At 44.5% G+C, this 11,703-nt stretch overlaps 1 long non-coding RNA gene across 1 annotated transcript, besides 1 other annotated feature; it reads right to left on the minus strand.

Annotated features, from left to right (window-relative positions):
* Window positions 1–773: 773 nt before the first annotated feature.
* On the minus strand, window positions 774–5,208 carry LOC124902985 (uncharacterized). The gene is made up of 2 exons (XR_007063408.1): window positions 4,418–5,208; window positions 774–4,316 (listed from the first exon to the last, which is right to left on the minus strand). It is a non-coding gene; the product is annotated as an uncharacterized LOC124902985 (long non-coding RNA).
* Window positions 7,080–7,280: a silencer, noted in NCBI's record as "peak1894 fragment used in MPRA reporter construct". NCBI's record gives its function as "represses an SCP1 promoter by STARR-seq MPRAs in K562 erythroleukemia cells {active_cell/tissue: K562}" and the evidence as "EXISTENCE:reporter gene assay evidence [ECO:0000049][PMID:32103011]".

Below are 11,703 nucleotides of genomic sequence, written 5' to 3' on the forward strand. Positions count from 1 at the left end.
CTAAGACTGGGTAATTTATAAAGAAAAAGAGGTTTAATGGACTCACAGTTCCACATGGCTGGGGAAGGCCTCACAATCACGGAGGAAGGCGAAAGGCACATCTTACATCACAGCAGACAAGACAGAATCAGAACCAAGTGAAAGGGGTTCCCCCTTATAAAACCACCAGATCTCGTGAGACTTATTCAATACCATGAGAACAGTATGGGGGAAACTCCCCCCATGATTCAAGTATCTCCCATGGGGCCTGTCTCACAACAGGTGGGAATTATGGGAGCTACAATTCAAGATGAGATTTGGGTGGGGACACAGCTGAGCCATATCAGGGTCTTTAAATTGGTATTAAGGTTAAATGAGGTCATTGGGGTGGGCCCTGATGCAACATGACTGGTGTCCTTATAAGAAGGGGAGATGAGGACACGGGAGAAGGCAGCCATCTGCAAACCAAGGAGAGAGAACTCAGAAGAAATCAATGCTGCCAACAACTCGATCTCAGACTTCTAGCCTCCGGGACTATGACAAAGTATTTTTCTGTTGTTGAAGCCACTCAATCTGTGGTACTTTGTTATAGCAGCCCTTGGGAACTAGTGCAGTTACTAAGAACCCACTCTCTGCCACATCTTCCACAAGGCAGAGGCACATCCTCTGGGACTGGCTGTGAGTCTGGAGATAGTTACCATTTTAGTCCAGATAGTTAGCCCACCAAGTACCCCCAGAGAAGGACTATTTGTCTCTTACTAACATCTCACTGATATGGTTTATTATTCTAAAGATTTGGGTGTAAACAAGAGTTTATTATGTCTTCAAATATAAAAAGCTACAGTAAACAGCTGATTTTTGAAAGTATAATGAGGAAGATGCCATAGAAACTGTGAAAGAGGTCAGTGAAACTAGAGGAGTCCACCTGGGCTTAGATGATGTGATGTTTAAGCTGGGATCAAAAATGAATAAATCACAGGTGAACGAGGAGGAACGTTCCAGTCAGGGAAAAGTAAAAGTCTAAAGAAAGCCTGAGCAACATGGTGAAACCTGTCTCTAGGAAAAATAAAAAAAAGTAGCTGGGTGTGGTGGCGCACCTGTTGTTCCAGCCACTCAGGAGGCTGAAGTGGGAGGATTGTTTAAGACCGGGAGGTGGGGAGTGCACTGAGCTGTGATTGCACCACTGCACTCCATCCTGGGTGACAGAGTGAGACCCAGTCTCAAAAAAAAAAAGTCTAAAGCAGAAAAATATTCGAAAAACTGGAGAAAGCTGGGGAGATAGGCTGGGCCATACTGTGAAAGGACAATGAGAAGACCCCAAAGTGTTTTGGGCAGGGATGTTCTTATTGGAAAGATCACTCTGACTGCAGCGTGGACCCAGAGTTAGATAGGAGAAGACTAGAACCAGGAGACTCAGTTAGGAGGCCGTCCCAGGGGTCTGCAAAGGGGGATGGTGGATGGGGTGAGAGATTGAGTGCAGATAGAGAGAAATGGAAGGATTAGATATTTAGGAAGTTGAAGAAAACACATTTCCTCATTAGTTCAGTGTAGAAGGGTTGAGGAGGAGGAAGGAGTTAAGTATGATTTGGATAATTTGATGGGTAATGAGTCATTTACTTTGGGGAATATTGGGGATGCTTATGGGGAAAGGGATTATATTTATCAGGACTTCCATGATTGCAAGTGACAGAAACTGAATTCAAATAATTTAAGGATATAGGACTGATGTGAAGAAACAGAGCTACTCTACCCGCTTCATTTCTCTCTTTTTAAAATTTTCACTTCTCTTGGTGTGTTGGCCTCATTCTTTCCTATTGCAGACTTGCTTCCTCCAGGCAATGGAGAGAAGGTGGTATTGTTGCAACTTGACATTTACGTCTTCCTAGCTCAGGGACTCCAGAGAGAGAGCTTTTTTCTCCCAGCATCTTAGTTTGAATTTCACTGTGCAAGGTTTAGCCCCACCCAATTTTAACCTTTCTGAAATCGGAAGCGTCTTTTAATAGATGTCATCTTCCTTTTTTGTTGTTCCAATTGGCAGTATTATTTCTTAGTGATGGATAAAATAACAGTGTTTCTTACTGTAATGGAGTCTTAGATGTAATGAAATCCGTATAAAATTTTAGAGAAGGGCTCTGACTGGTTTGGTGTGTGTCATTGATTGCCACTGGGCCAATCATGGTGACCCAAGAGATAGGGGAGTAGATGATCAGTACTGGGATACAGGCCCATCCCTGTGGCCAGTGCCATAGGGTGCTATGATTGAAAATCCCATCTGAACTACACTTAGTAGGGAGTGGCAGTTGCTGCAAATAACAGAAATACTGCTGGGAACACATGAAGCTTGTCAGGCCCAAAAACATGATGAAGAGTGCTTGAGAAAACAGTGAGTTCAATGTAGACTGGTGGCTAAACTGGCTGGTGAGATACTGTATTAGTCTGTTCTCGCACTGCCATAAAGAACAACCTGAGACTGGGTTATTTATTTATTTAGAGACAGAGTCTCACTCTATCACTGAGGCTGGAGTGCAGTGGCACAATCTTGGCTCACTGCAGCCTCCACCACTCGGGTTCAAGCAATTCTTGTGTCTCAGCCTCCAGAGCAGCTGGGACTACAGGCGTGCGCCACCATGCCCAGCTAATTTTTGTATTTTTAGTAGAGACAGGGTCTCACCATGTTGACCAGGCTGGTCTTGAACTCCTGACCTCAGGTGATCCACCCACCTCGGCCTCCCAAAGTGCTGAGATGACAGGCATGAGCCACCGCACCCAGCCGAGACTGGGTACTTTATAAAGAAAAAGAGGTTTAATTGACTCATGGTCCCCAGGATGTACAGGAAGCATGGCTGGGGAGGCCTCAGGAAGCTTACAATCATGGTGGAAGGTGAAGGAGAAGCAGGCATGTCTTTCATGGCCAGAGAAGGAGGAGGAGATAGAGAAAGGGGAGGTGCTACACACTTTTTTTTTGTTTTTGTTTGTTTGTTTGTTTGTTTTTTTGAGACAGAGTCTCAGTCTATCGCCAGGCTGGAGTGCAGTGGCGCGATCTCGGCTCACTGCAAGCTCCGACACCCTGGTTCAAGCAATTCTCCTGCTTCAGCTTCCCAAGTAGCTGGGAATACAGGCACACACCCAGCTAATTTTTGTATTTTTAGTAGAGACGGCGTTTCACCATGTTGGCCTGGCTGGTCTCGAACTCCTGACCTCAGGTGATCCACCTGCCTCGGCCTCCCAAAATGCTGGCATTACAGGCATGAGTCACTGCGCCCGACTGCTACACACTTTTATAAACAACCAGACCTTGTGAGAACTTACTCATGGGAACAGCAAGGGGGAAATCTGCCCTCATGATTCAATCACCTCCCATCAGGCCCCCCTTCCAATGTTGAGTATTAGAATTCGATATGAGATTTGGACAGGGACACAGACCCAAATCATATCAGATACCCAAATGATGATGTCCCCTGCCCATTAAATTTGGCAGCAAATTTGTCACCTTCAACTTCACTGAGAGCATTTTCAATAGAGTGCAGGGCAGGAGGCCAGCTAAAGGGAGTTGAGGAATGAATGAGAATTGAGGAAAATGAGATAGGGTGGTCAGAAGCCAAAGAGAATTAAGGTTTGTTTGGGGACATTCTCTGCATTGAGGACAGAATTGCTCATGCAGCCCTTCAGGATCCAAGGCAATGCCCTAGAGCAGTAGTTCTCAAAGACCATCAGGAGCCACCACCTGGGATTTACTAGAAAAGCAAATTTTCGGGACCCACCCAAGACCTACTGAGTTAGAAACTCCAAGGTAGGGTCCTGTGATCTGCATTTTAACAAGCACTCCAGGTGATTTGGATGCAGGCTAAGTTTGAGAACTAGGGCCTTAGAAGCCTACAGCAACAGGCTTTTATGGAGCTGAACTATGATATTATCTGTCTCAGGGAGGCAAATGTGTGTTGTTAACATGTTTACTTCAGCTGGGCTTGCTGGAAGCAAAGAATCTGGTTTGAGTTGGGGCTAAGGGGGGTAAGGGCACAGATTTCTATAAAGCAATCAAATGAGAAAAAGGACTGTTGCCTTCCCAGGGCAGGATCCCTGCTGTATGAAATCCACCTATTTGGGTTTTTCAAGCAGATGAGCAATTTGACATCTTTCCACTCCTCTGAGCAACACAGTGTTAAGTGGATCTCTTGAAGGATGAGCCTGGTGCTTGGCTGAAGCTGTCACAAAGTGGCATTTCTCACAGTATTTGCAGAGGCCCTGAGAAATGTTAACCAGAGACTCAGTTTGCTCTTTGATTTCAGTCTTCACGGTTGAAAACCTTTCTTAAATGCATCTTTTTGCCACTTTAGAGGCTAGAATAAAAACCAAAAGAGCAAAGTTTGTGAAAGATTGTTTTATCTTTACAAATCAGAATGGGTTTAAGATGTAGCTCTCTAATGTCACTCTTACTCACTTGCATTCTGATTTGCTTTCTTGAGAGAAAGAGATTGGGATGCCTGGAGTTCCTGTTGGCTGCTGGGATTTGCATGTGATCCCCGACATAGACTATTTGTGACACACGCTGGTATGTGTGTCTGTAGCTGATGTCCTATTAATAGCTGATACATGAATGTCATTTGTTGGTTGGGCAGACACAGGAAGTGTGGCACGATGTAAATTCTGTGAAGACAGGGCTGGTTGATTCAATGTTTTATCCCCGATACCTAGAACAGCACTCAATAAACATGTTGAATGAATGAAAAAAATGATAATTATAATTGAATCCTGGATCACTCAGAAACCTACAGATTCAGGGTCACCAGTCTGAGCATTAATTCTCACCATCTGGGATCCTAAATATAGCATGTGTAGGCAGCACTGGCTGCATAATTTGTTGGGGCCAGTGCAGAATAAAAATGCAGAGCTTCTTGTTCAAAAATTAATAACTGTGAGACAGCATTAGCAGAGTATTCAGCCAAGCATGCAGCTCTTCTGAGTGTGGAGTCCTGTGCTCCTGCACAAGTCACACCCACGATGCCAGCCCAGCAGGTAAGGAATGGGACAAAATTTTACCAATTCTGGTAATTTTCTGGAAATGGCTTTACAATTTTTTCCAGAAATCCTTGAAATGACTTTTTAATTTAATTTAATTTTATTTTAAGATGGAATCTCACTCTGTTGCCCAAGCTGGAGTGCAGTGGCATGATCTCAGCTCACTGCAACCTCTGCCTCCCGGGTTCAAGTGATTCTCCTGCTTCAGTCCCCTGGGTAGCTGGGATTACAGGCACCCACCATGATGCCCAGCTATTATTATTATTATTATTATTTTTAGTGGAGATGAGATTTCACTAAACCCCGTTGGCCAGGCTGGTCTCGAACTCCTGACCTCAGGTGATCCACCTGCCTCGGCCTCCCAAAGTTCTAGGATTACAGGCATGAGCCACCGCGCCCGGCCATGACCTTTTAATGTAGTTATTTTCCATGAAAAAGAAAGTAACATTAAAAATGAAGGTTGTCTGTGATAGGACTGGATTATCCCAATTCTTTTCTTCCTCCTTGGAATGTATCCTTTCTTTGCTATGTTGCTCTACAATGCCTCCTACTGGAGAGATTAGAGTCTGTTTCCCCACTTCCTCATGTCGGGCTGGATCGTGAGGCTTGCTTTGGCCAATGGAATGTTAGTGGGCATGATCAGAGGCTTTAAATGTGCTCATGAGGTTTGGCTTTGCTTCTCAGGCTCTGTCCTTTACCATGAGAACTGTCCTGGGTAAGCTGTTGGCTCAAGCAAATGACAGAAATATGGGGTAGACTTGATCCCAATCAGCTGCCCCAGCTAACCTGCAGACCTACATAGAAAGATGGAAAAGAAATGCTTTTGGTAAGCCAACAACGTTTTGGAGTCTTTTGTTACACAGCATTTACATAACAGAAACCTAAGAAGGCATCCTTCAGGAGGATCCTAATAAATGAATATCAACTGGTTTTTTTTTAAATTTTGAGGATGCTGAAAAAGAACGACAAAAGAGACTAGAAAAAGAATCAAAATTAATGCTGAATATTGGTATACAATCCTGCTCAGAAGATGGTTTAACCTGATGCTCAAATCAAGTCATTAAGTCCTAAAAAAACTCAGTGCTAAGCACTTTGCAAACTTTAATTCAAGTAATCCTCCCAGTAACACTATGAGTGAAGTTGCTAATATCATTGTCGTTTTCAGCTGTGGAAGCAAAAAATCAGAGAGATGTAAGTAACTCAGCTAAGGCCACACAGCTTGGAAGTAGTGAAGCCAGGATCCTAACCCAGGTGGGATGGATCCAGAGCTGCACACTTAATCACCACGCCTTGCTACATTGCCATCTAGAAAGCAAAGGCCAGTGGCTCATGCCTGTAATCCCAGCACTTTGGGAGGCCAAGGTGGGCAGATCACTTGAGGCCAGGAGTTTGAGACCAGCCTGGGCAACGTGATGAAACCCCGTCTCTACAAAAAATTCAAAAATTAGCCAAGCCTGGTGGCTTGCACCTGCGGTCCCAGCTACTTGGGAGGCTGAGGCTGGAGAATCACTTGAGCCCGGGAAGAAGAGGTTGCAGTGAGCCGAGATCGCACCGCTGCACTCCAGCCTGAGCAGGAGTGAGAGCCTGTCTCAAAAATAAAAAATAAGGAAAGTCCTGGGGAAATTCAAGGTACTTTTATCTCTGTCCTGAACTTGACTTGACTTCAGACCACTTCTCCTTCTGCCTCCTCCTTGATGATCAACTCAAATACCTGTTTCTTTGCTCTTGCCTTCACCCACACCTTGAGTTTGATGCCCGAGTGGATGATGCTCCCAGCTCCCAGCAGCCCAAACTCCACTCTCCTTACCTAGCATGATGTGTCTGAGGAAACTGAGCCAATAACCCACTTGTTTGCATAGCCTAGGGCTCTTTCTCCCAGGATGTAGCTACCATTCCCAACCTTAGAATTGGGCCCACAAGAAGACCTTGAGATTCAAAAGCTTTCAAGGTATGTGGGAAGGGTTTGCAAAAGGGGAATCAGGTTTATGGCTAAATGTCAATAAGAATGTATGCCCCTGCCTTTCTACACTTCTCTGAATGCCCTTCAGCCAGGCTTCTTGGTGACTGTGTGGTGGCTGAGGCCATTCCTATAGCATGAATATATTAAAACATGGTATAATCCAGACATTTGTCATTCTCCCTCCAGGTCATTACATATGAGCGGGTCTCTTTGACAATGCTGTAATATGCCCTCAAGGAGGCTTCATTTATTTAGAGCTGCATACAGATTTTGAAGAGAATGTATTTAAGACAAGTAGAAAAAGAATCTTCCATCCTTATTAGAGATTATGTAAACTCCTTGCCAGATTCTAATCTTGCTGATCCCAAACTTGCCAAGAAAGCTTTTTTTTGGACATCATTAAATAGATCTTATTCTAGTTGTCTTTGTTTGTTTTTTAGAGATTGCAAGTACTCCATAGGATCTCCTTAAAGAAGCAGCAGGAGGAAGAGGCCTCATTTTTAAGAAAGCTTGTCTTATGCTTGGGCAAAGGTGGACACATCAGCTACTGGTGCATGGGCCGGCAGTGGAGAGGAAGGATATTCACAAGACTTAACAGCTAGTCCAGAAAGAGTTCTGATCAATCAGGGAGAGGCCCTGTTCCTGACCCATCTGCCAAGCAGATGGGCTGTGATCAGACCGGTCATCAGAAGGGGAGCATCTCTTTCCCAAGAATCCCAGTCCAAGTTCCAAGCCTGTGCTGGGAGCCACCGTTGTTGGGTTGAACTGATCCAGAATATACGGTCTGAGAGTAGAAAGGGAAGGTTCCCTGCAGTAGGCAGAATAATGTCCCCAAACCCACCACAAAGAGGCCTATGTGTGAATCCCCAGAATCTAGGAATATGTTACATAGCAAAGGGAAATTAAGGTTGCCAATCCATTGACTGTAACATAGGGATATTACCCTGGGTTTTCCAGGTAGGCACAATGTAATCCCAAGGATCTTTAAGAGGAGAAGAAGGAAGTGGAAGAGGAACCACCAAAGAGAAGGCAGCATAAGAGGGATCTGGCCTGGCATTGCTGGCTTTGAGGTTGGAGGAAGGGACTACCAGCCAAGGAAAAAAGAAGCTAAAAAAGGGAATGAGACAGATTCTCCCTAGGGCCTCCAGAAAGAACACAGCCCAGTTAACACTGTGATTTTAGCCCAGAGAGATCTATTTTGGACTTCTGATCTCCAGAACTATAAGATAACAAATTTGTGTTGTTTTAAGCCACTAAATTTATGGTCATTTGTTGTGGCAACAATAGAAAAGAAATACATTCCCCAACAGGAAATTAGGGCGGTCTTACAAAAAGGAGGAGGAAGATGCTGGGCAGGCCAACAAAAATATCAGAACAGATGTGTACTGCAGATGAGATCTCTGGGAGTGCTTGTTCTATAGCTCCCTGGATGGGTATTTTCCCAGGGGAGACAGAATATACTTTCAAAGTATCAATAGTGGTATGGACCTGTTCCACAAAGCAAAAGCTAAGCTCATAGCACCTGTCAGCAAGACCAGAAGAGCTGGAGTTAGGAGTGTGGCCTCTGAAGGCGCTCCACACAGATTGGAAACCTGGTTCCCTCATTCACCAGTTGGGTAACTCTGGGCAAGTTACTTAGACTCTCTGTGCTTCAGTAAAATGAGGATGATAAATATCTGACAGCATTTTCATAAGAATCGATGACATTTATACACATAAAGAATTAAGAATCACTTCTGGCATATGGTTAAGGCTCAATGAATGTTAATGGTTGCTCTTATGACTAATACTATAACCTAGCTCTGGAGCCAGACTACCTGGGTTCAAAGCCCAGCTCTGCCACTTAGAACTTCTATGCTTGGGCAAGTTACTTAGCATCTCTGAGCCCCAGGTTTTTTCATGTGTAAAATGGGGATATTAAAGGTACTTACCTCATAGAGTTGTGATGAGGATTAAAACATTAATTTATGTAAAGTACTAGAACAATGCCTGATATACACGATACATGTTATCTAGCATCATCATCGTTAGTACTAGTATGAGGTCACTGTCACTCTGGAGGACTAATAACTAAAACACCACCGCCGTGATGATGCAGTGGCATCTTATGTGATCATTAAGACCTTTTAGGTTGGGAATAACCATGGTTCCCAAACTGTAGGGACCTCTGGGAGCAACATTCTCTATCTTCCTATCAGAATTCAAACCATGGAAGCACCCCAGTGAGATGGCTATATAATATATGAAAAGAAAAGAAAGTAGAAAAATTCATCATCAGAAACACACTGTAAGACTCCTGAAAGGGATGTAGAGAGAACCCACTTGTGTCTCCTATTTCTCTGCTCTGCAGTTCTACAGGGTTGCATTTGCCTGATGCTTTTGATTCAGTGTTTTTACACTATGTAACATAGTGAGAACGTTAGGTTAAGGAAGCTTGCCATTTCCCTTTTCAGAGCAGTCCTTTCAACAATACCAAGAATTCGCACTTTGGTAGATAATGACAAGAAATACGACAGCCCAGCCGTTAGTAAACAAGCAAATCATCTAATGGCAAAGGCTGATTTAATCAAAACATTCTGGTTCTCCCTCATCTGAACCCACACAAGGAATGAACCAATCCAACTGGAAAAAAATATTTGTTTTATCTTTGCCACATTTATTTACTCTTAAGGACTGTTTAACTTGATGGGGCAGAGAAGTTGGAAAGAACAAAAATACTCAAGGCAGTGAACAGCCTCCCAGGTCTCTGGCAGCAGGCAGGAATGCCAGTGGCCTGGAGGTATTTCCACAGGGGCCTGTTTGTGAGCAGTTTCTGAAGTTGTTTGCCCTCATCTTGAGGGGTGGAGAAATGACCTGCTTATGTGGCAGGTTTGCAGGGCAGGGGGTGCAGAATAAGAACTAGAGAAAATAAGCCAGGAATTTAACCCCTGCTCTGTAAATGATTCCAAAATATGAAATACTTATTCCAAAAACTCTACTGAGCATTCTATATGTGCAAGACATTGAGACAGGTGTTACAGGAAGGCTAAGATAAAGTAGACATAGATTCGAGCTCAAGAAACTCTGTCAAATAGGGCACGAGAAAGAAACACAGATACCTACGGGATGTAGAAAGCTCCAGGTGTGTTTTATTTTATTTTTTACTTTTTTTAGACAGAGTCTTCTTTCGTTGCTCAGGCTGTGGTACAGTGGTGTGATCTTGGCTCACTGTAACCTCCACCTCCTGGGTTCAAGTGATTCTCCTGTCTCAGCCTCCCGAGTAGCTGGGATTACAGGCATGTGCCACCATGCCCAGCTAATGTTTGCATTTTTAGTAGAGATGGGGTTTTGCCATGTTGGCCAGGCTGGTCTCGAACTCCTGACCTCAAGTGCTTCACTTGCCTCAGCCTCCCAAAGTATTGGGATTACAGGCATGAGCTACTATGCCCAGCCTCTAGGTGTGTTAAATTGGAAGCCCTAGAAACAGGACTGGAGATGGGGCTTGTGTACAGGTGCTTACTGTTGTAAATTGTTTTTATTTTTTTAGAGACAGGATCTCATTCTGTTGCCCAAGATGGGTGCAGTGGCATGATCTTAGTTCACTGCAGCCTCAACCTCCTGGGCTCAAGCCATCTTCCTGCCACAGCCTCCTGAGTAGCTGAGACTAGAGACGTGCACCACCACACCTGGTTAATTTTTTTATTTTTTATAGAGACGGGGCCTCACTAAGTTGCCCAGGCTGGTCTTGAACTCCTGGCCTCAAGCCATCCTCCTACCTTGGCCTCCCAAAGTGCTAGGATTATAGGCATAAGCCAATGTGTCTGGCTTTATAGGTGCTTTCTTGTAGAAGAGCTCTTGGGTGGAACCTTTAAGGATGCAAGTGAAGCAGAATAGGGCAGGGGAGAAGCTGGGCAAAGAGGTGACTGCAGCCCCAGCCTGAAGCCATTCTTAGATCTGGAGGGTGATTGGTACCTGTGGTAAAATACAAAATATATATTTACTCTTGGTCCCTGGTTCCCAGCATAGAGCTCCTAACACCCTTGGAAATTACTCTTTTGCTAATGAGAAGACTCTTGTTGGGCAGAGGGGGCCTAGGTAGCTTTAGGATGGGACCTGGACACAGGAAAAACCAACCATGTACTGAGAAGGTTAGAACTTCCAGCCTTGCTCTTCCACCTCTGAGAGCAGGAGAGGGGCTAGAGATTGAGTTCAATCACCAATGGCCAATGATTTAATCAATCATGTGTACTTACTGAAACTGCCATAAAAAATCCCTACACAATGGGGCTTGGAGAGCTTCTGAGTTGGTGAACACATCCAGGAGAGTGGCTCATCCCAACTCTCCAGGGACAGAGCCTCCTGCATTCAGATGCTTCCTCAGTACCCCTCCATCTGGCTGCTCGTGTGTGTCCATCATAATAAAGTGTAATAGTAGGTATGGCATTTTCCTGAGTTCTGTGAGGATTCTAGTGAATTATCAAAGCTGGGTAGGGAAAGTCACAGAACCCTTGAATTTATAGTCCACTGGGCAGAAGTGTGGGTCACCTGGGGACCCCATTTGTGGCTGGTGTCTGAAGTCTTGTGGAGCTGAGCCCTTTAATCTGTGGGATCTGGGCTTGGTAAAGTGAATCTGGGCATGACACAACAGCATTTACTACAAGGTAATGTTACTGAAACACCAGGGTTCCAGTCTAGGTTCTGCTGCTTGTTACACAGAATGCCAATCACTGAGACAGTAACTATTGCCAGGGAAGAAAACTTTAACGGGG

Source organism: Homo sapiens, chromosome 12, assembly GCF_000001405.40.
Source record: "Homo sapiens chromosome 12, GRCh38.p14 Primary Assembly".
Taxonomy (NCBI): domain Eukaryota; kingdom Metazoa; phylum Chordata; class Mammalia; order Primates; family Hominidae; genus Homo; species Homo sapiens.